Here is a 24,336-nt window from a genome sequence, read left to right as displayed (position 1 = left end):
GCACTGGTCCTCTGTTCGAGTTCACAAGTAAGTTCTAGAAGTTTATCCCCACAATTATTTGTGACTTACATTAACTCTGGAGCTAAACTTTGGGCTGTAGCCTCCAGACAGTTGTTCAGATTTTGCCTTGATAGCCAAGGCGGTAGAATGAATTCTAAGTGCCCTGGATTGACCACCTCTTGTAGAATTGTCCCTTCTGTAATACGCCCTCATTTTCTGGCCCCTTGATGGGAAGCTACAGAATTCCTTTGCTAAATTATAAGAAAGCCCACCCCACCTCCCTTTTTTTTTTTTTTTAATAGAAAACGAGTACCCAAGTCTATGTAATTTTTGGCAGAAGCAGAGGTGATTTGTGGTTGCCTGGGCCCAAAGTCCAGTTTTGAGATACCACCACCTCCTGGCAATGCAGGAAGGCAGCGGCTGAGGAAGTCTGCGAGTGCAGCAGTTTGCCTGGAGGATTTGGTGTTGCAAAAGTTTTCTGGGACAGAGAAACCTTAAGTAAAACATGGTGAGAAAGAGGTGGAACAAGATAAAAAGAAAGACTTCTACTCCCTTCAGCAAGGGGATTTATGTAGAAAGGAAACATAAGGGCCAGGTGTGGTGGCTCCCGCCTGTAATCCCAGTACTTTGGGAGGCCGAGGCGGGTGGATCATTTGAGGTCAGGAGGTCGAGACCAGCCTGGCCAACATGATGAAACCCCGTCTCCACTGAAAATACAAAAATTAGCTGGGCGTGGTGGCACACACCTGTAGTTCCAGCTACATGGGAGGCTGAGGAAGGAGAATCGCTTGAACCCAGGAGGTGGAGGTTGCAGTGAGCCGAAATCATGCCACTGCACTCCAGCCTGAACAACAGAGCAAGACTCCATCTCATTAAAAAAAAAAAAAAAAAAAAGGGAAGAAAAGCAAGTATTGTAGAGTCAGACAGAAGACAAGGGTCCAAAGCTCAGCTCTGCCACTTCCTGTGTGATATCAGACCAGGGTATTAACCTTGTTATTCTGAGGTTCTACTTCTTCATTTGTAAAATGGGGATACAAATACTATACCTAACGAGTAGTTGTGAGGTTTATACAATTCTGTTTACTAGCTCATATAGTGTCTGACACATAGTAAATAGGTACTGAATAAAGTTTAGCTATTATGAAGTCTCTGGATGCAGGGGATATAATTGTCTAATGAATCTGAAAGTCATATGGGATATCATTAGCACATGCTGCAGGAAGGCTTTCCCCTCATCTCTTGGATTCATTTTGTTGTCTTGTTTAGGTAACAGTTGATGTCACTTGCTTTCCTTCTCTTGACCTCTCTGCTTTGATTCTGAACATTTTCCATGTTATCTATTATTCTGAATTAATCATTTTTCAACTCTGTAAGTTACTCTTCTTTTTTTTGAGATAGGGTCTCACTCTGTTGCCCAAGCTGGAGTGCAGTGGCGTGATCTCAACTCACTGCAGCATCCACCTCCCGGGCTGAAGTGATCCTCCCACCTCAGCTCCCCAGTAGCTGGGACTACAGGAGCCACCACAGTTGGCTAATTTTTGTATTTTTTTGAGAGATGAGGTCTCCCTATGTTGCCCAGGCTGGTCTCGAACTCCTGGGATCAGGCCATCTGCCCCACCACCCCCACCTTGGCCTCCCAAAGTGTTGGGATTCCAGGCATGAGCCACCACGCTTGGCCAATATCTTTCTTCTATAAATAAGTTCATGGCAATTAAGGTGGCTCACTAAAAAGAGAAGATACAAATCAGTCAGAGCCAGACTGACTCTGAACCCAAACAGTGCTTCTCTCAGTGAAAGGGCAGGAACCACAGAACACGAATTATGTTGGTGAGATTCGTGTGACTTTTAATTTATTATGTTACTAATGTCTTACAGTAAGTGTGAGGAGTAAAGACAGGGATGGGGTAAAGGTAAGGAAAAGTATTTTTCAAGTTCCTTGAACTATTGAAGCATGTGCTAGGATAAGAAAGTTCAGTAAAAGCATCATGTCCTTATCACCAGAGCTCTTAAAGGAGACATGGAACAGAGACGGGGCAACTCTTCAGCTCTGGCCGAAGTGACTGCTGGACAGAGAACAAATCCTGCATCAGCCTTGGCACACATGAAAGACTGGGCAATGCAGATGCTACACAGTTGGGCAGATGAAGAGCTGACTGTCCAGAATCTACTTCTAGCAAGCGAGTAGGCGCATGCACACCCCTTCTCTGGTCTGAGTGTCTCTTCCTCTCCGGCAGGACCCCACCAACTGTGCAGCCATGGGGTAAGTGTTAGGGAAGTCTTTTAGAAAAGAGAAAGATGTCTTTCTTATATATACGCTGGTAGTGTTGATTGACCAGAAGTGGTTTCTTTTACTTTGGGGCGGTAGCATTGTGTTCTGGTGACAAAATATCCTACACTTAGCACTCGTAAAAGGCATAGGAGAGTGAAAGCAACGCCTCTTTATGACCTAGGCTAGTGGGAAGGGGAATACGTGGATTCTAAGGGTAAGGGGATGAAAAAGCTAATTCTATATCACCACAAATGAACTGACACATAAATGACACCTTGGCTTTTTCCACTCATAGAAACACTCACTTCTTCTAGCTTACACTACTAAATCTAAGGTCGGCTTCATCACAGTTTGGGATATTTACTGTGCTTCTAAAGTAAAGGTGAAAAGCTACATCCTTAATAGTTTTTTTCCTAATTAAATAGATTTGTGTAAGCTGAAAGCCTAAAGTCTAGGGATTCTTTGCATTATTTTATATGTTGGGGGAAACCCTTAAAATTCATCACTGCCATTTTTTTAACCTACAGAATTGAAAGAATATGAAATGGGCAGGGATAAGTAATTACACGAATCATAGACATGGTCAACATGCATCTAATTTTACCCACTGAGCAGAGCGCGAATGGGGGTAAGTTCTTTTGAGAAGAACCAAAATGTGTTTAAAAGGGAAGAATACTACACTAGACTATTTTTTTCCTACATAGAAGAAAAGGATATATGGAATTGAAGGAGGTGAAAAGTGTCCATTAAACAAACACCTATTATTTGTGAAATAATTCTATCAGAGTGGAATTGGGTGTGGACCATTAGTTTATCTCTGGCAGTGATCTTATGTTTTAGGTATCTAGAGTAAGATTATTTAGCTGGGTAATGGCTGGGTAGCATGAATAGTTTTAATTTCAGTTCACAGCAAATGACGATGATCGCAGATTTAGCACCTTAGTTTGTACTTCCTCTGCACCTGAATCATCGATCACTGTGAAGCGTGAGCTGAAGGTCAGAAAGCTGTATTCTTAGATAACTCATCTGTGATTGCTCCAGGACTGCAGTTTACTTCAATCTAAGGGGTGGTTTTCTTATTAGAGAATGTAAGTATTCAATACTAAATATGAGACTGAAGCCTTGAAGACATTTTATAGTGGTGGCAGGTGTTATAGTTCAGGAATAGGCTGTTTAACAAGTCAAATGCATATCATTCCCTCTTAAGCATTAACTTTTTCAAAGCAATGGAATTATATTTTTTGGCTTGAAATGGTGGTTTCTTCTATATTTGATTTCTCGGTTTTCTTAGTAGATATTACTGTCTCCTCTAATATTTCTTCAAAACTTTCCCCTATCTGGGAGGTTTTCTTAGAGGCTACCTTAGATGCCTCCTCCTCCTCCTCCTCTTTCTTAAGTGATAGCCCAGTGGATGAGACTTTGGAGGTTGTAGCACTGAGGATTCTAGGTGGGAGCAGGTAACTTGGATTGGGAAGTGGATTCAGCCCCGAAATGCTTAACCCACTGGTGCTAAAACGTGTCTCCTCGCCTTCCAGCAGTTTCCTGTAAATTCAACAGAGAAAAACTCTTAGGAAGTCAATAACTTTTCCCCCCCAGAACTCAACCCTCCAATCCTGATTCATTTGAGAGAGATTCCAAAGGACTTTGGAGTTTCTTCATGAGATTGAAACCAATAAATATTTAATTTCAAAGCTCAAAGGGTTGGACCACGTGCATACGCATGCGCACACACACACCCCCCTTCAGCACCAGCTATGTTTAAAGCATTGTCAAAGGAAAACCTATCCTGTTCACAAATATATTCCAGGAGGAAAACCTGCAACTCCACTTGGCCACATCACACCCATTTTTGGCAATTAGCAACAAAGCTCTAGGGAGAAGTACTTTTCCTAAGTAACACCTTAGCTGCAATAGGGATAAGGAGGTGAGATGTCCACAAAGGTGGTAGAAACTGTCTTACTCAACCTGGATTTGAGATTTGTACTTTTTCAGTGTATACGGGTACAAAGGGAATAGAACCAGCAATAACAAAAACCAGTGAATGACACTGTTTCAGATAACAGATTTTTATCAGCGTGACGAAAACAGTCTTATAAAAGAGTGGCCCCAAACCATGTTTCTCATAACTCTTAATAGTTTTTAATTATCCTTTTTTTTTTTTTTTTTTTTTAGACAGAGTCTCACTGTCTCCCAGGCTGGAGTGCAGTGACATGATCACAGCTCACTGCAACCTCCACCTCCCAGGTTCAAGCGATTCTCTTGCCTCAGCCTCCAGAGTAGCTGGGACTGCAGGTGTGTGCCACCACGCCTGGCCAATTTTTGTGTTTTTAGTAGAGACTGGGTTTCACCATGTTGGCCAGGCTGGTCTTGAACTCCTGATCTCAAGTGATCCACCCACCTTGGCCTCCCAAAGTGCTGGGATTATAGGAGTGAGCTACTGCACTTGGCCCCAAACCCTATTTTTAAAGTTACGAGTCTCATGGGTTTTTATTTTAACCTCTGTGTACTCACATTATCCCCTTAAATCCTTTCAGAGGTACACAGAATACTCTGGGACTAGTCAGATGGAGCTGGATTATATCTAAGTAGAGGGACAGAGCAGTCAGCTCACCTGAAAGGGGCCAGTGATGCCCTTCTTCCCTCCCTCACCAGTCAGAAGCCAGAGAGACTAGATCCACTTATTTGGGCAGCATTGCCCCTAGGTGACTGGATTTACTCGGGTAAGCAGGTCCTTTGCAGTACCTGTAAGCTGCTATCTCAATGTCAAGAGCCATTTTGACATTGAGCAAGTCCTGGTATTCCCGAAGGTGGCGTGCCATCTCACTCTTGGTGTTCCTCAGATCATTCTCCAGCTGCCCAATGCTATCCTGAAAAGTAACATATCCAAAATAGTTAGGCCAAACCAGCTGAAATTCCTCAAGATTTCCAGAAGGCAAGGATTCCCAGCCCTGACTACACATTAAAATCATCTAATGAACTTATAACTTGCTTATATCCAGGTCTGTCCCTGAGTCCAGATCCAGATTCACTGGTTCTGGGGTGGGGTCCCAGCATTTGCATTTTTTTCATAAAGGTCCCCAGGAGATTTGGACTCATGGTGAGGACTGGGAACTTTTACCCAGAGGGCAAGTGAACACCTGCCCTTTTCAGGATAGCCACACGGCATATAGTTCTGAACTGAACATGGAGATGATTTTTTTTTTTTTTACACTTACCATCCCTCCCTTGCTTGTTGTGTTGCTGCTAAATAACTCTGTTGTAGCATGTGCTTTCCAAAACCCAAAGCCTCAGGTTAGCAGCTTAGATTCAGAAAATTCCGAATGTGGAAAGCACAGAGAGCTTTCCAGGAAGACCTCTCTGCCTCCATTCATTTTGATGATTTCCTAGAAGCCTGCTAATCAGTCACTTTACTGAGAGCATTTTACATTATAGGTAAGGAGAAAGCAGAAATACTCCACAGAATTTTTAAAACACCGAGGCATGGAAGAGAAATCGCTTTATATTTATATATTTATAGTCCTTGAGCAGCCAGAAGGAATTCTTTTTTTTTTTTTTTTTTTTTTTTTGAGACAAGGTCTTGCTCTGTTGCCTAGGCTGGAGTACAGTGGTGTGATCACAGCTCACTGCAGCCTCAAAATTCCTGGGCTCAAGCGATCTTCCTGTCTCAGCCTCCCAAGCAGTTGGGACTAACAGGTGTACACTACCATGCCTGGCTAGTTAAAAAAGATTTTTGTTTTGTAAAGATGAGGTCTCATTATGTTGTCCAGGCTGGTCTTGAACTCCTGGCCTCAAGAGACACTCCTGCCTTTACCTCCTAAAGTGCTTAGATTACATGTATGAGCCACCATGCCCAGCCTGGTCTTTTCTTTTACTCCTTAACTATACCAAGTTCATTGCTGTCCCAGGCCCTTCAGGCTTGTTATTTCCTCTATCTAAAATGCCGGTCTTTACATGGCCGACTCCTTGTCATAGAAGATTCAGTTCACCCGGGTGTGGTGGCTCACACCTGTAATCCTAGCACTTTGGGAGGCTGAGGCAGGCAGATCACCTGAGATCAGGAGTTCAAGACTAGCCTGGCTAACATGGCAAAACTCCGTCTCTACTAAAAATACAAAAATTAGCTGGGTGCAGTGGCATGCACCTGTAATCCCAGCTACTTGGGAGGCTGAGGCAGGAGAATCGCTTGAACCCAGGAGGGGGAGGTTGCAGTGAGACGAGATCGCGCCACTGCATTCCAGCTGGGCAACAAGAGCGAAACTCCATCTCAAAAAAAAAAAAAAAAAGATTCAGTTCAAATGTCCTCTCCTGCCAGGCATGATGGCTCATGCCTGTAATCCCAGCACTTTGGGAGGCTGAGGTAGGAGGATCACCTGGAGTCGGGAGTTCGAGACCAGCCAGACCAACAAGGAGAAACCCCGTCTCTACTAAAAGTACAAAAATTAGCTGTGTGCAGTGGCAAGCGCCTGTAATCCCACCTACTTGGGAGGCTGAGGCAGGAGAATCGCTTGAATCTGGAAGGCAGAGGTTGCAGTGAGCTGAGATCGTACCACCGCACTCCAGCTTGGGCAACAAGAGCAAAACTCTGTCTCAAAAAAGATTCAGTTCAAATGTCCTCTCCTGCCAGGCACGATGGCTCATGCCTGTAATCCCAGCACTTTGGGAGGCTGAGGCGGGAGGATCACCTGGGGTTGGGAGTTCGAGACCAGCCAGACCAATATGGAGAAACTCTGTCTCTACTAAAAATACAAAAATTAGCCGGGCGTGGTGGTGCATGCCTATAATCCCAGCTACTAGGGAGGCTGAAGCAGGAGAATTGTTTGAATCTGGGAGGCGGAGGTTGCAGTGAGCCGAGATCGTGCCATTGCACTCCAGCCTGGACAACAAGAATGAAACTCCATCTCAAAAAATAAAATAAAATAAAATAAAATAAAATATAATGTCCTCTCCTCAGACAGGTCTTCATTTGCATCCAATTTAAGTATCCATCCTCGACCAACCCAGCACTTTATTTTACCTTAAGCCAGAGCAGCTACTGGCCCATGCAGGAACCTTGTGCAAATTAGAAAAAAAGCACTCAGTTGAATGCAGCCACCCTGCTCTCAGCTCTTACCATTATATGAAATTATCTTCTTCTTTTTTTTTTTTTCCGAGATGGAGTCTTGCTCTGTTACCCAGGCTGGAGTGCAGTGGCGCAATCTCAGCTCACTGCAACCTCCACCACCTGGGTTCAAGTAATTCTCCTGCCTCAGCCTCCTGAGTAGCTGGGATTACAGGTGTGCACCACCACACCTGGCTAATTTTTGTATTTTTAGTAGAGATGGGGTTTCACCATGTTGGCCAGGCTGGTCTTGAACTCCTAACCTCGTGATCCGCCCGCCTCAGCCTCCCAAAGTGCTGGGATAACAGGCATGAGTCACAGTGTCCGGCCCCGGCAATTTACTGGTTTATACTAGTTTATTTTCTGTTGCTTTCCTCTATAACAGAGTTTTACAACTTTGGCAGTGTTGATGTTTTAGGCTGGCTAATTATTTGTTATTGTGAAATGCGGGATATTTAGTAACATCCCTGGCTAGATGCCAGAAGCACATACTTCCCTCTCCCAGTTGCGATAACAAGAAAACATCTCTAGGGCATCCCAGCACTTTGGGTAGCTGAGGCAGGCGAATCACTTGAGGCTGAGCTGAGAGAATTGCTCGAGCCCGGTAGGCGGAGGTTGAAGTGAGCTATGATGGCGCCACTGTGCTCCAGCCTGGGCGACACAGCAAGACCCCGTCTTAAAAAAAAAAAAAAAGACACAATGATTGGGGGTTATTTTTAAGAAACAGTCATGCAGGGCCGGGCATGGTGGCTCATGCCTGTAATCCCAGCACTTTGGGAGGCTGAGGCGGGTGGATCACCTGAGGTCAGGAGTTCAGGTCAATCAAGAGACTGAGACTATGCTGGCCAACATGGTGAAACTATGGTCTCTACTAAAAATACAAAAATTAGCTGGGCGTGGTGGCGTGTGCCTGTAATCCCAGCTACTCTGGAGGCTGAGGTAGGAGAATCACTTGAACCTGGGAGGCAGAGGTTGCAGTGAGCTGAGATCGTGCCATTGCACTCCAGCCTGGGCAACAAGAGCAAAACTCCATCTCAAAAAAAAAAAAAAAAAAAGAAACAGTGATGCAGATAAACATATCAGAAACCTCAAGAAAGTAAGTGTTGACAGGCCCTTGAAACTCCCCTTGTGTGAGAATGATAAAGCAATGGTGAAAGGTAGGGCTGAGACATCAGGGGGTACAAACTTCCAAATCAAGAGAATTTGCAGAATTAAAATTCATACCACCTACCTGTTCTATAAATATTGACAGGAATACTGCAAAGAGGAGTCTCAATTGACTGATGGGTACAGAACAAGGAATGACAGTCAGTAGGAAAAATACGTATTATACTGGACCGTGATGCATATATTTCAAAGTGTGTTAAGAGATCATGAGGCCTTAAAGAGATTTTTACCAAGAAATTTTACCTGATAGTTCCTATTTGAGGTTATAATCAATTCTGCTACTGACATAGAATCACTGACATAGACCCTCTAGCTACTGACAAGAGAATCAATATTACTGTGGTAAGAGGGAAAAGAGTCTAGAGTGAGGGAAAAAGGAGAAAGAAGAAAATATGATTATGCAAAGAAGGAGGAGGAATGCTATATGAAGATAAGAGGAGGATTTCATCAGGAACTTGGGTTGCAGTTTTTGCTCTGCCACTAACATCCATTGGACCTCAGCCAGTTTTCTACATTTTAGTTCCTTCCAATCTTCTACTTCTGCATACGGAAAGTTATGTTTACTCTTTTTCTAAGGTGTTCTGAGATCCTCAAATTAGGATTTCAATTTAATATATCTCACATATACATTAATATATGATGAGTCCATTATCTGTTAAATTAGTAGGCATCAGAACAGCATGGCACACAGGAAGAACTCAATAAATGTTAGTGATTTTTATTCTTGATAATATCATACCACATGGCCCTCTATCCTTTTGATGATATAGACAAATTAATCACAAGCCCTCACTATTACCAACCCCTTAGATAACTACGAAAAGTAACATATAACAACACTTTAATATTGGATAGTTGGAGGCATATACCTTAAAGCACCAGATTTTTTTTTTTAATAACAATTTTGAATAAAAAGCCTTTCTAAAGTGGCTTATACCACTCACAATCAGGACACTAAACATAATGCCACCTTCCACAGCAATTAAGGGTCATGATAATAATCAATTTTAAAAATAATTCGGTGACATCTTTTAGGTCATTCGAGGTATATCAGGCTGTTTAATTCTACCCTAAATGGCCCCAAAGTGCGGTGTTTGGATTAGTGTTGATGCTCATTGATTTTCTTTGTTCTGAAAGATGAACGGATCTGCTGCTGCTCATTCTTAACAATGCCTGACTCCAGTGGTCCCCATTCTCCATCTTGCTGCAGTCTTGAAACCAAATAAAAAAGCATTTTGAAATCGTGTTAAGAATGAATAGGCTGGGGGCAGTAGAGGTGCCAAGTTCCTAATGTTTGGCTTAGAGATAGATGATATGTCTCATCAGCAGGTTAATTAGGTCCTTGCTTAAAACATTATTTTTGTTTCACAGCTGTGTTTTCTGAATAAGAGGTGGTTGGGGAGCTGAGTTCTAGACAGATGAGATTTCCTTGAACTTCTATGTTGCAGATTTCATATATCTATTTTACAGATCACTGTAGAGAAAAGCACAACTTTGCTCCTTTCAGAAGGAAGTGTGCTGTGTTCTGACCATTGATTGCTCTTCAATGTCTGGTCTCTTTGTTTGTGCTCTCCTCCCCACATCAGGCTGTGTCTTGCATTGCCCTTCAGAAGCCCTGCCAAAGATGGCCTCCAGCTCGAGATCTGAGCAGAGCGCTGCAGTCTGTCCCCTCCCCCAACCACGCAGCTGCTGCCGGCTTAGCCTGAGGGAACCGGAGAGCGGCACGCCCAGCTCCAGCTGGGGTCTCTCCTGGAGGAGCTAAGACAAACGCTGAGCATCGTCTTAGCTCGTCTGAGCATCGCAGCCCGTGGCTGGAAGGATGCCGGGTGGAGTAAGAGAAATGAATGGCCACACTAACATCTGCAGTGGTGAAGAAGAACGACAGAGCTGTGGATTTCAGCACGTTTGGGGGCCCTGGGTCAGGGAGGCAGTAGTGAGTGCCCCACAGTCTGATTGAAAGAGGCTATTTAGAATTACTGCTCTGCATAATCAACTTGAGTGGGGACGGAGGATTTTTATTTGTGGTTCACCATGCGTGCTTTATTCTCACTCCTACCTTTCCTTTGTCCCCATCTTTTTCTTTCCTCCACCACACTCGAAAATCCTGTATTATACGTATCTCCGTAAACTACTTTACTGGAAGAAGTGGTTTAGATCAATGTACTCCAAAGTCAGTCTGAGGACCAACAGGATGCAGCACTTTTATTGAAAAATGCATATTCCCGGGCCCTACCTGTGAACTGCTGAATCCATATCTTTGGGAGTGGGCCTGATAATTTTTTTAAGCCCCCAATTGACCTTAGAGTGTCACTGGGTTTAGGATCCACTAGTTTAAATTTTTTTCTATAAAGATGCTATCATGGTAGCCCAGGTGACAGTAATACAGTAAGATAGGGAGGGGCAAACAAAACAAAATGAAACAAAAACCAGGTGGAAGAGCTTAAAAAAGATCAAATGTAGCTAATTTTAGAAATGGATCTATCAAGCTATGGATTTATATGCAGCCACTGTCACCTCCAGTCTCCAAGGGGCCAGCCCCTTCCTGCTATTTAATTAGGCTGTACTCCAATCTCATAATGGAGAAAAAAGAGAAGACTTGGCTTGTCTCCCTGGAGAGCATTAACCTGCGGTGATCTTGATCATTCAGCAAGGTCTTTCAAGGAAAGCTTCAACTTTCCAAGACTGACCACAGTAGAGGTCTGAGACCCTGAGTACCCTCCAAGAATGTCTTTGGACATCTTTAACAGAACTAGGACTCTAATGGTGCCGAAGTGGCTATGTAGGCACCAGCATTGCCCTATGTCAGAAATGGAAACCCCATCAGCTTTTTATGCAGAGGGGAGTTGCATTTGGCTTTTGAAGACAATAGCCTTAGCTCTTCCTAATCTCTTCTCTTGCCTGATTCAGACTCTCTCATCCACTATTGTGTACTTACTGTGTCACCGTGAATCATTTTTTACCCTTTCAAAAGTGTAAGAAGCTTTCTCTCCTTAAATAGGCTATCAGCTATCTGGGGCAGAGAAGATGGGACTTTAATGGGGCCTTCCTATGTTTCATAGAGGGTGCCAAGTTTGAAAAGAAAAATGGCCCTACCACTAATCTCTGTAGCAGAAGAAGGAGAACAGCCTCCCATTACTGCAGTGAAAGGTGGGGATGAGATGAGAGGGCAAGAAAACAATGGCTAAATCTCACTGTAGAAAGGGAGGCTTTTCACCTTGGTCAGCACTGCTAAGATTGTTAGAACAGTCAGAGACACCCTTGTGGCATCAGGCCGTTAGGATCTGCAGGTAAGACTTGAGCTCCACCTTAGCCTTAGGTCCCAAGGAGTAGGGAACCAGCTCTCTGTTGTCTGACCTCCTCTTCCACTCCCATCAGCAGGTCCTCTGTGGCTCTAAAGGCTCAAGCTGATGGGGGCAGCACCGCAGAGCTGCAGATGCTGCAGTTTCTCTGTTGTTGTTTTTTGTTTGTTTCCTGTAGACCATGTCTGGATGACGCTACCATTGTCTAATGATGAAAGCCTTTTACAGCAAACAAGCCAGGCAAAACTGTCACTACTTCTTAGAATGTATGGGCTATAACAAGCAGAGAAAATGGAGAAGCCCAATTCAGCTGGCAGCTCTGAGTAAGTTATCCTTTTTTTGTAGAAATACTGGGCTAGCCCTCCAGAAGACCACCTAGCTCGTACTTGGAGGCTTCTAGAAGAAAAAAATGAAGTCTCAATTAGCCAAATGTGATTAATTCAGGCCATCCAGGGGTTAGGGTACATAATGAAAAGTTCAAGTTATGGATTTTGAGGCAGAAATGGAAGTACTTATTTGAATGATAATGCAATACCAAACTAACCTAAACAGTCCAAGCAGGCTTTTTTCCTTTATCAAAGGAAGTTATTGTAACAAACAGCAAATACCTGCACATCAATAAGAATTCTTTAGCTTCTGATTAAAATGTTACTTTTGAGATTTCATTCCTTTCTTGGTTCTATTTTACCAATGTTCCAAGCCCTATTAATCTCACCAAATGTAAACTTTAATCCTAGCTAGAATTATTGCAAGTTTCTGAATTATAGTCATTCTATTCAAAGGAGCTTTTATTGTACCTTGAAACCGAACCACACTATTCCAATTCTTTTCTACACCTTCCATTTACCCTGTCCCCTGCCTCTGTGCCATTTGCGGTCATAATCCCAGAATTTCTTATATAGTAAAACTGAAGACACAGTGGCCTTTGTTGGGAAGAAATAGCCAATCAATACCATCACAGGAGCTTAGAGGACAGGGAAATATGGAAAAAATACATACACTAGAACAAAGAAAAACCATCTCTGTGACTTATCACATGCACTTACAATGAAAAAAATACTAACAAAACAGGAATTTTCAAGTGGGACCTCACAGCTGCTGAGCAAATTAAGTGTTTTTTGTTTAGTGCTAAGCCATCCATGAAAGCCAAAACTGATGTTGTCTATGAGGTGACCTTTGATTGCAGGTAGCCAAGACTGATGTGTTGGTGTTGCAGGAAAAAAAAAATCAAAGCAGTTAATTGCCTAGAGATTCATAACTGGGACACGAGACAGGAGAGACATAATTTCTGAGATGGGAAGAACTCGAGATCAGCACCGTGGACAGCGCCCCGACCTTTCACGTTTTGCCAACCGGCGAACGCTTTCTTAAGGAGGAAATGTCAGCTGGTGGACAAGGGAATCGTGTGTGTGTGTGTGTGTGTGTGTGTGTGTGCTGGTGGACAAGGGAATCGTGTGTGTGTGTGTGTTGGGGAGGTGGGTAGAGCAGGGTGGTTACTACTAGCTCAAGCATCGCTCAGCTTGTTGGCTCCCAATCTCTACTTTTTGGAGCGCGAAAGTCAAGAAAATGGGATAGGACTCTTCCCAGTTCAGGATCGCATTCTTCCTTCAGCCCTGAAGCAGACCATACTCCATAAATAACTTCTAGGGCGCACAGAAAGCTTTTCAAAGTCAACCAAACAAGCCAGATAGCCGAGACAGCACCGCCCACGTAACCTGCCCCGTTGGGCTCAGTCTTACTTTGGGTGGGGCACTGTTCTCCGGGTCGCCGGTGTGTGTAGGCCCGCTTGCTGACAGACAGGCAGAGTTGGGTTTTCGAACCTCAAATAAATTTAAGGGCTTCTTTGTTTGAAGGGCTGGGGCAGGGACATAAATGAGGGGCGTTCCCTAAAATTAACATTAAAGACTCCAGGGTTTTTTGTTAACCAGCGCCTCCAGCCGCGGCTCTTCTCTCCTCTCTTTTGCCCTCCCCTTAAGTCCTGGGGCCCAGTTTTACCAGAGGAAGAGGGTACGCGCGGAAGAGGGCAGGGCACCCCTCCCCACGCCCAGCCCCGGCCCTTACCTGGTAGCCAGCTACCTCGGCACTGTGCCGCTCCTCCAGCTCCAGGATCTGCCTCTCCAAGGACTCGTTGGCCCCGCGCAGGCCCTCGATCTCGATGGTGCGCGCCTGCAGCTGGCGCCGATACTCGTGGATCTCCTCGCGGCTGGCCCGGATGGCCTCGGTGCTGCGCGCCGCCTGCTCGTTCAGGTTGGCAAACTTGGACTTGTACCATTCTTCCGCGGACTGCAGGTTCTTAGCGGCCAGGGACTCATACTGGGCGCGGATCTCCCTCAGAGCCGAGGTCAGGTCTGGTTTAGCCACAGTCACGTCCACCTCGGCCGCGGCCTGCGACGACGCCTGCAGCGTGGCCAGCAGCTCGGCTACCTCCTCGTCGTGCACCTGGCGTACGAAGGCCAGCTCGTCCAGCAGCGACTCCACCTTCTTCTCCAGGTCCAGGCGGGCCAGCGTGGCGCCGTCCACGTCGCGCTGCTGCGCCTTCAGGGCGCGCTCGGCGCCTTCGCGTCCGCGGCTCTCCTCCTCGCAGCGCGCCCGCAGCCGCTGCACCTCCTCCGCCAGCCCGTCGCGCTCCAGCAGGGCCTGCGAGCGAGCCGAGCTGGCCTCCTCCAGCTGCGCGCGCAGGTCGCGCAGCTCGCGCTGGAAGAGCTCGCCGACGCGCGACGGCTCAGCGTGGCGCTGTCGCAGCGCGGCCAGCTCGGCCTCCAACGCGCGGTTCTGCGTCTCCAGCTGATGCACCTTCTCGATGAACACGGCGAAGCGGTCGTTGAGGCCCTGCAGCTGCTCCTTCTCGTTGGTGCGGATGATCTTGTACTCGTTGGTGCGCGCCGCCGCCTGGCTCAGGTCCAGCCCGTCGGACGCCGGCGGCCGGCGATAGGCCAGGCCGAGGCCGAGCGACGAGGCCGAGGAGCAGGCGGCCGAGGAGGCCACATTGCTGCGGGACAGCGACTGCGAGCGGAAGCCGCCCGCGCCGCCGGCCCCAGAGAGGCGGGCGGACAGGCGAGAGCCATCCCCGAACACCTTGCGGTAGGAGGAGGAGGAGCACAGGTAGTGCTCCGAGCCGAAGCTCATGGTGCCGGGATCGGGGCCGGACGTGCGGCTTCAACGCGAGCTACAGAAGAAAGGAGAGGTGCGGCAGGCAGGGCGCGGCGGGGCGGTGCGCCCGGCTTTTAAGGCGCCGGGGCTGGGGCGGCGCGCTGGGGGCGGAGCTCCTGCTCAGAGTCTGGCCGGGAGAGGGAAGGGGGGCATCCAGGAGTGGGGGCGGGGAGGCGCAGTGACTACCGCAGCTGCGCGCGCGACGACCTGGGGCGCCGGGACAGGGCCATCTGCATCGGAGTCGCCCCTTTCCGCAGCGCTTCTCCCCAAGAATCGACTGCTTCGGAAGTGACTCGAGCGGAGGGGTGCCTAAACGACTGAGGTTTCCCATCCGGAAACCACACAGCTCTGTCGCATCCCTTGACCCTATCCCCTCTTCTTTAACCGACTGGGAGGTTAGGGGTTTCTGGGAGGTGTCCCCTACACCCACCCTCATCCTGAGGTGAGGCGCACAGAAAGCCTTCCCGAGGGCGAGGTCGTGTTTTTCCAGTTACAGTGAGGACCTGCAGAGCGAGCCCTTGTCCCCTTCCTCAGGGTCCCCAAGGAGAAAGGTGGGAGATGCTACGTCAGAAAGCATCTCTCCAGCTGCCCCTCTGCAGCTCCTGGGGAGGCTCCGGGCGGAAAGATGTTCAGCAAGTGCCTCTCCCAGAAGAGAGGGGAGATCAGTAAAGAAAGTGACCCCGAGCTGCGGAGAGTGGGGAGAAGCGGCGGTACAGAGGGGAAAAGAGGCCAGACTTGGAGAAGCAGGAGGCGCTGGGAATTGCTGGGGCTCATCGTTAGGGCACTAAAGCATGGCACAGGCCAGGACCACAAGCTGCTGGAAAGGGGGCTGCAGACTTTTGTGTTTAGAGCATTATATTTTAAAATATTTCGAAAGGAGCATTTTTAAACCAGGAGATTTCACCTGTAAAGAAATTGGATTTCTGGCTTCTTCTGAAAATGGGAAGAGCTGGGATGCCCACAGTGGCAGAGGTGAGTTGCCCTTGCCATTTGTATAAGAAGTGTGCTCTCCTGTTCACTACAGTCCCTGCCATTCTCCACTGAATTACGCCCCCCTTCTTAATTCATTTACTTTACCTCTCTGACCCTGTGGGCATTTGAGATTTCAGTTTGTGTAAATCCAGCAGGGCAGGTTCTCAACTGGCTTCAGAGAGCCACTCCCTGTGCAGATCTCTTTTTGGAGAAAAGAGATCCCTGCAAAAAGATTAAACTCCAGGAGTGGGGGAGAGTGCTGGTGACTGAGCCGGCCTCTTCTGCCACATGGTAGGGTTGGTGGGGCAGGGGGTGAGAATCAAAGAATGGAATCTGAAAAGATGAAGGCTGGGAGGGGTCAGTGTGGCGTCTGTAATATGTACCCACTTGCAAGCTTCTAATATCATTCAGGATGTGGATATGGCTTTGGAGAGGGAGTAGGAAGACCTTTTTAGTTATATCCCAGAATTCCAGACTGAGGGCCTTTTATTGATATTGGAATCTTCAAGGACGTAGTTCTAGGATAAGTTTTACTTCATGGGGAAAGGGGAATATGCTTGGGACAGGCCACTAAAGGAAGGGTGAAAAGGGATCTTATGGGACTTTGGAGCATATCTCTTGGCTTTGTGCTTGATGTCATGGAAGATGGTCAGGCCCTGCCACAGCCTGCCCCTCTGGTTCCTCATCACAGACCAAAGCCTTGAGTTGGAGGGACTCAATTCTGAGGTCTTTGGGCTTAGAAAGACCTGGTAAGGTGAACAATAAAAGATTGCTAACACTGCTGAGTAATGATTGTCTGCCAGTACTTGTGCTGGCACTTTTGCATAGGTTTACCTCTGAACCATGCTTCAAGGTGGCCCTCACCTCCATCTTATAGATAAGGCACCGAGGTGCGGGTGCAGCACAAGGTCACCAGCAAGCAAAGACAAGCATACATTCTCTCTTCACTACATAATTCTGCTTAGTGCAGTGAGACTCTTTTTTTTTTTTTTTTTTTTCTGAGACGGAGTTGGCCGGGTGCAGTGGCTCACACCTGTAATCCCAGCACTTTGGGAGGCCGAGATGGGCGGATCACTTGAGGTGAGGAGTTTGAGACCAGCCTGACCAACATGGTGAAACCCTGTCTCTATTAAAAATATAAAAATGAGCCGGGTGTGGTGGCACGGGCCTGTAATCCCAGCTCCTCAGGAGGCTGAGGCAGGAGAATTGCTTGAACTCGGGAGGTGGAGGTTTTAGTGAGCCGAAATCATGCGACTGCACTCCAGCCTGGGTGACAGAGCGAGACTCCATCAAAAAAAAAAAAAAAAAGAGAGACGGAGTTGCGCTCTTCTTGCCCAGGCTGGAGGGCAGTAGCGTGATCTTGGCTCACCACAGGTCAGCGGGTAGGTGTCTGCCACAACATCTGGCTATTTTTTGTATTTTTTTTTTTTTTTGAGATGGAGTCTCGCTCTGTCGCCCAAGCCGGAATGCAGTGGCACAATCTCGGCTCACTGCAACCTTTGCCTCCTGGGTTCAAGCAGTTCTCTGCCTCAGGCTCCCGAGTAGCTGGGATTACAGGTGCCCACCACCACACCTGGCTAATTTTTGTATTTTTAGTAGAGATGGGGTTTCACCATGTTGGCCAGGCTGGTCTTGAACTCCTGACCTCGTGATCCACCTGCTTTGGCCTCCCGAAGTGCTGGGATTACAGGCATGAGCCACCACGCCTGGCCAATTTTTTGTATTTTTACTAGAGACGGGGTTTCATCATGTTTTCCAGGCTCGTCTTGAACTTGACCTCAGGTGATCCACCTGCCTTGGCCTCCCAAAGTGCAGGGATTACAGACGTCAGCCACTGCGCCCAGCCTGCAGTGAGACTCTTGAAGTCTTGTTAATTTCCATGCAGCACGGCCGGCTGCCGTGGCTCCTGCCTGTAATCTCAGCACTTTGGGAGGCCGAGGCGAGTGGATCACCTGAGGTCAGGAGTTCGAGACCAGCCTGACCAACATGGAGAAACCTGTCTCTACTAAAAATACAAAATTAGCTGAGGGTGGTGGCACATGCCTGTAATCCCAGCTACTCTGGAGGCCAAGGCAGAAGAATCACTTGAACCCGGGAGGCGGAGGTTGTGGTGAGCCAAGATCGCACCATTGCACTCCAGCCTGGGCAACAAGGGTGAAACTGTCTCAAAAAAACAAAATATTTCTGTGCAGCCAGAATAGGACTAAGTGGGCTTTGGAAGAGTTTTGGCTGATAACAAATCAGCATGCTGGTTTGTAATTGAAAGAACATTGGACTCAGAGTCAGAGGCAATGGGTTTGAATTGTGGCTTCTGCCACTTACTAAGCATGTAGGGATAACAACACCTACCTCCCAAGAGTCATGAAAGCTTGAGCTGATGCATGTGAAGGTGCTTTTAAGCTGTAGGTATAAAGAGTTATGGTCATCATCATCCTCTTTCAAATGAAAGGAACGGTTTCACATCCATCAGCAACAGGATATGAATTGGGTTTAGGGAGGGGATTGCAGGAAATAGTCCATCACACCCTTGCACAGGTCTCCAGGCTACTACTACTGAAAGTCAGCAAAATGTCCTGGTTGGAGTTCCGCTTTCTTTCCCTTCCCATCCTCCAGTGGAATCAGTACCCCAAAGGCAAAACACACATAGAACAGAAGAAAGTGAGGCAAAAGGCCTAAATATTTCAGCAGAGTGACAGTTGCCCTGGCAAAGATGCATTTTGCATTTTCTCAACAGCTTATCTGAGATTCCAAACTGGTATTCCCCTGTGGGACTTATGCCTCCTCTTTCTTGGCATCCCACCCCACAGGCCCAGATGTTTGGCTTTAATAATTTTAGCACAAAGCTATCCTGCGAAGGAGTGATCTTGGCTGAGCCTCAATCCATAACTCCTTCCAGCTGGCCAGGCCTCCTGAGGGAGTTCCCTGTGTGTGCCAGGGCTGTGTCTTCATCTTCCTCTGATGGCACACTCAGACACCACAGACACGTTGTCAGTCATCCCCAGTTCTCCCTAAGGCCACATTCTCCAGTCTCTCTGTGGCATTTGGCAGTGCTGACCACTCTCCTTGGTTTTAATGACTCAGTTCTTAGCCTTCCGCTCTTCCTTTGTAAACTCTTTTTTTAGGCCAGGCACCGTGACTCATGCCTGTAATCCCAGCACTTTGGGAGGCTGAGGTGGGAGGAGCACTTGAGCCCAGGAGTTTGAGACTAGCCTGGGCAACATGGCAAAACCCCATCTCTACCAAAAATACAAAAATTAGCTGAGTGTGGTGGTACATGCCTGTGGTCCCAGCTTCTCAGGAGGCTGAGGCAGGAGAATTGCTTGAACCCGGGAGGCAGAGGTTGCAGTGAGCAGAGATCGCGCCATTGCACTCCAGCCTGGGCAATAAGAGCGAAACTCTGTCTCAAAATAATAATAATAATAATAATAATAATAATAATAATAATAATATAATAATAATAAACAACTCTCTTTTTACGATATTAGATCTCCCAGAAGCAGGGAGGCTTATAAAGTTTTCTCCCTGAGAAATCTAGTTTTGCATCTAGCCAGGTGACCTCAAACACATTACTATTATTTGCTGAGCCGTAATTTCTTGAAATTGTCTGTGAAATTTCAATAAAACAATCCACCAGAGTGCTCTGCAAACCTGGCTGATCATTAGAATTACCTGAGAACTTAAATTTAGATTCCTGGGCTTTACCCATAACCCACTTAATCTAAGGGATTGAGATCCCTAGACCTACCTCTCGTGAAATGACTGTGCAGTTTAAATGAGATTATGTATACAAAGCAGACATCACAGTGCCTGCTGTGTGCATGTTCAGTAAATGGTAGCTGTTAGAAGTATCAACTTCTTTAATTAATTCATTCACCAAATAGTTACTGAATGTTTATGTCCAAGGCCCCTGGAGTAGGTGCCTTCTCCATAGGAATAAGGCAGATGTGGGCTCTGCCTCCATGGGAGTGGCATTCTAGTAGGAGAGACAGAGATTAAGCAGCTAATTACACCATTAATTGTTAATTACACTTATGACAAGTGCTCTGAAGGCAAGTACAAGTTGCTGTGGGGCATACAACTAAGGCCCTGACCTATGCCAATGAGTCCCAAACCCCTATTTCCAATTTCCACCTCCAAACACATATCTAACTGCCTGTTGGATATCTCCTCGTGAATGCTTGCTGGTCTTCAAATACCATAGATCTGAAAGTGAACTTATTATCTCCCTCTTCTCCTCCCCCCTCCCCTTGCTTCTTGATCTTCACTTTGTCCCACTCGTTCCTCTGCTTACACAGTTCCTTCTTCCTGGAATTTCACCCCCAGCCCTACTTCAACTGTTGAGATCCTTAAGGCTCAAATGCCGCCCCTCCTTGAAGCCTTCCTTGGTATCTCCAGTGGAAGGTGATCCATCCTTCCCTTGAACTCTCCTCCTCAAACCCATAGCCTTTGCAGCACTCACATGGCTCATAATGAACATAGTCTTCTACTGTAATTATTTGTATGCTTGTCTGAGTTGAAATGGGAGCTGTGTGCAGTAGTGCACACCTATAGGCCCAGCTACTTGGGCTGAGGCAGGAAGATCTCTTGAGCCCAGGAGTTCGAGGCTGTAGTGTACTATGATTGCACCTGTGAATAACCGCTGCACTCCAGCCTGGGCAACATAGTGAGACTCCATTTCTAAATATTAAAATAAATAAATAAATAGATGAATAGAACTGGAAGCTCCTTGAGCACAACTCATCTTCTACATCTATATATATCTCTCAGCACCTATCACAGTATTAAACACATGTGAGGTGAAAAAAGGGGTTGAAAATGCTTTCTCATATAACCACTTGGGAAAAGTCTTTGGCATGACACCAAGAGTGAGATTCATAAAAAAAAAAATGCTTTTAACTTCATCAAAATTAAAATCTTTTGCTCTGCAAAAGATCCTGTTAAGAAGATGAAGGCAGTCAGGCACCATGGCTCACGCCTGTAATCCCAGCACTTTGGGAGGCTGAGGCAGGCAGATCACGAGGTCAGGAGATCGAGACCATCCTGGCTAACACGGTGAAACTCCGTCTGTACTAAAAATACAAAAATTAGCCAGACGTGGTGGCGGGCGCCTGTAATCCCAGCCACTCGGGAGGCTGAGGCAGGAGAATGGCATGAACCCAGGAGGCAGAGCTTGCAGTGAGCCAAGATCGCGCCACTGCACTCCAGCCTGGGCAACAGAGCGAGACTGTGTCTCAAAAAAAAAAAAAAAAAAAGGAAGATGAAGGCTGGGCATGGTGGCTCAGCACTTTGGGAGGCCAAGGCAGGCAGATCACGAGGTCAGAAGTTCGAGACAAGCCTAGCCATCTCTACTAAAAAATTAGCTGAGCATGGTGGCACGTGCCTGTAGTCCCAGCTATTCGGGAGGCTGAGGCAGGAGAATTGCTTGAACCCGGCAGGCAGAGGTTGCAGTGAGCCGAGACTGTGCCATTGCACTCCAGCCTGGGCAACAGGCGACAGAGTGAGACTCCATCTCAAAAAAAAAAAAGAAGAAGATGAAAAGACAAGCCAAAAATATTTACAAATGACAACAAATGTATCCAGAATGTGTATCCAGAATTTGTAAAGAACTTTCTAGCCAGGCGTGGTGGCTCACGCCTGTAATCCCAGCACCTTGGGAGGCCAAGGTGGGTGGATCACTTGAGGTCAGGAGTTCAAGACCAGCCTGGCCAGCATGGTGAAACCCCGTCTCTACTAAAAATACAAAAAAATTAGCAGGGCCTGGTGGCATGCTCCTGTAATCCCAGCTACTAGGGAGGCTGAGGCATGAGAATCGCTTGAACCCAGGAGGCGGAGGTTGCAGTGAGCCGAGATCACGCCACTGCACTTCAGCCTGAGTGACAGAGCGAGATTCCATCTCAAAAAAAAAAAAAAAAAAAAAGAACTGTCTAAACATAACAGAAAGGAAATGAACATTCCAATTAGAAAATGGGCAAATGACTTGAATAGGCATTTTACCAGAGGGAATATACAAATGGCAAATAAGTAGATGAAAATATGTTCAACATAACTAGCCATCAGGAAATCAAATTCAAAGCACAATTATGTGACACTACATACCTACTAGAGTGGCTTAAACACAAAATACTGACAATACTAAGTGCTTACAAGGATGGAGAACAGCTGGATCTCTAATTTATTCCCGCCAGAAAAGCTGGTGGGGATGTAAAATGGTACACATACTCTGGAAAAACACTTTAGTAGTTTCTTATAAAGTTAATATACATTTGGCCAGGCACAGTGGCTCAAGCCATTACTGTAATCTTAGCACTTTGGGAGGCCAAGGTGGGCAGATGACCTGAGCTCAGGAGTTCAAGTCCAGCCTGGTCAACATGGTGAGACTCCATCTCTCTTAAAAATACAAAAATTTAGCCAATCATGGTGGTGTGCGCCTGTAATCTCAGCTACTCGGGAGGCTGAGGTGGGAGAATCACATGAATCTAGGAGGCAGAGGTTGCAGTGAGCTGGGATCGCACCACTGCACTCGAGCCTGGGCAGCAGACCGAGACTCTGCCTCCAAAATAAATAAATTAATGAATTAATTAAATAAATTAATATATATTTACCATGTGACTCAGCAATTTCACTCCTGAGTATTTCGCCCAGAAAAGGGAAAACCTATGTTCACACAAAAATGAGTACATGAAAGTTCATAGCAGCTTTCTATATGATGTACTAAAACAGGAGACAACCCACATGTCTTTCAGCAGGTGAATGGATAAACAAACTAAAATACATTCATACAATGGAATACTGTTCACCATTAGAAAGAATGAACTATTGACACATGAAACAACTTGGGTGAATTATAAGGGCATTTTGCTGAGTAAAAGCTAATCTCAAAATGTTACATATTACATGATTCCATTTATAAAACATTCTTGAAGCAAAGAAATCATAGTGATGGGGAAAAGATCAATGGTTGACAGCAATTAAGGTTGTAGGGTTGTGGGAGGATGTAACTATAAAGGGGCTAACAGGAGGAAATTTTTGTGGTAATGGAACATTTCTGCTACTCAAATCTGTACACATGATAAAAATTCAGAGGGTGGGAGAGAGAAGAGAGAAACCTAATGAAATCCAAATAAGGTCTCTAGTGAATTAAGGTGTTGTATCAATGTCATTTTCCTGGTTTTGATAATGTACTATAGTTATATAAGATGGTATCATAGGGGGGAGCTGGGTAAATTGTACATGGGAACTTTCTGTACTATTTTTGCAATTTTTTTATGTCTTAAACTATTTCAAAGTAAGACATATATAAAAATAGGCAAATGTTCTTAGGAGATACATACTGAAGTTTTAGGGTTGCGGTATCATAATTTATGTAACTTACTCTTAGATGATTTGGCAAAAATGCTGTCCACACATACCACACACACAAATGCACACAGAAGGGGGAGGTAAAACAAATGCGTCAAAAAGTTGACCATTGGTGAGTTTAGGTGAAAAATGTACAGTTGTTTATTGTATTAGCCTTGCAACTTCTCTAGGTTTAAAATTTCCAAATTAAAAATTCAGGAAAAAAAATTTTTTTTTTGAGACAGAATCTTGTTCTGTTGCCCAGGCTGGAGTGCAGTGGCACGATCTCGGCTCACTGCAGCCTCTGCCTCCCAAGTTCAAGCATTTCTCCTGCCTCAGCCTCACAAGAGTAGCTGGGTGTACAGGTGTGTACCACCAAGCCAGGCTAATTTTTCTTTTGTATTTTTCTTTTTTTGGGTGGAGTTTTGCCCTTGTTGCCCAGGCTGGAGTGCAATGGTATGATCTTGGCTCACTGTAACCTCTGCCTCCCAGGTTCAAGCGATTCTCCTGCCTCAGCCTCCCAAGTAGCTGGGATTACAGGTGCCCACCACCACGCCCAGCTAATTTTTGTAGTTTTAGTAGAGGTGGGGTTTTACCATGTTGGCCAGGCTGGTCTTGAACTCCAGAGCCTCCTAAAGTGCTGGGATTACAGGCATGAGCCACCGCTCCCAGTCTTTTTTTGGTGTTTTAGTAGAGACAAGGTTTCACCAGGTTGGCAAGGCTGATCTCGAACTCCTGACCTCAGGTGATCTGCCTGCTTCAGCCTCCCAAAGTGCTGGGATTACAGGCATGAGCCACTGTGCCCAGCTAAGAAGTTAGGAAAATTGGTTAATAGATACATAGATGAGAGAGAGAGAGAGAGAGCAAAAAGGAAAGTATCACTCAAATCTGGGCTTGAACCAGTGACCTTCAGTCTAACACTCTTTTAACTTGGGCTAACTGTAAAGACCTCTCCCCCTTCCTTCTTGCCCACCAATAGGAAAATCCTGCTTGTTTTGAAGTAACAGAAAAAGGTCAGAATTCACACTATGTTGGGAGTATTT

General features: G+C 46.1%; 1 protein-coding gene across 1 annotated transcript, besides 1 other annotated feature; it reads right to left on the bottom strand.

Moving 5' to 3' along the window:
• Positions 1,825-15,033, bottom strand: INA (internexin neuronal intermediate filament protein alpha). The gene is made up of 3 exons (NM_032727.4): positions 13,895-15,033; positions 5,012-5,136; positions 1,825-3,811 (listed from the first exon to the last, which is right to left on the bottom strand). The coding sequence occupies exons 1-3, from the start codon at positions 14,957-14,959 to the stop codon at positions 3,502-3,504; spliced, it is 1,500 nt and encodes a 499-aa protein (NP_116116.1). The 5' UTR covers positions 14,960-15,033; the 3' UTR covers positions 1,825-3,501.
• Positions 14,014-14,618: an enhancer, noted in NCBI's record as "H3K27ac-H3K4me1 hESC enhancer chr10:105037310-105037914 (GRCh37/hg19 assembly coordinates)". NCBI's record gives its function as "activates a minimal SCP1, AML or CMV promoter by ChIP-STARR-seq in primed H9 embryonic stem cells {active_cell/tissue: H9 hESC(primed)}" and the evidence as "EXISTENCE:reporter gene assay evidence [ECO:0000049][PMID:30033119]".

Source organism: Homo sapiens, chromosome 10, assembly GCF_000001405.40.
Source record: "Homo sapiens chromosome 10, GRCh38.p14 Primary Assembly".
NCBI classification, from domain to species: Eukaryota; Metazoa; Chordata; class Mammalia; order Primates; family Hominidae; genus Homo; species Homo sapiens.
This window is presented reverse-complemented; position numbering and strand designations above follow the sequence as displayed.

What these genes read in the sequence shown, in the direction of transcription:
- INA (NM_032727.4), bottom strand. Translation starts at nt 14,959, where the DNA reads ATGAGCTTCGGCTCGGAGCACTACCTGTGCTCCTCCTCCTCCTACCGC. An exon ending in CCGAGGTAGCTGGCTACCAG is followed by an intron (nt 5,137 to 13,894) that starts GTAAGGGCCGGG and finishes GTTACTTTTCAG; the next exon opens with GATAGCATTGGGCAGCTGGA. An exon ending in ATTGAGATAGCAGCTTACAG is followed by an intron (nt 3,812 to 5,011) that starts GTACTGCAAAGG and finishes TTGAATTTACAG; the next exon opens with GAAACTGCTGGAAGGCGAGG.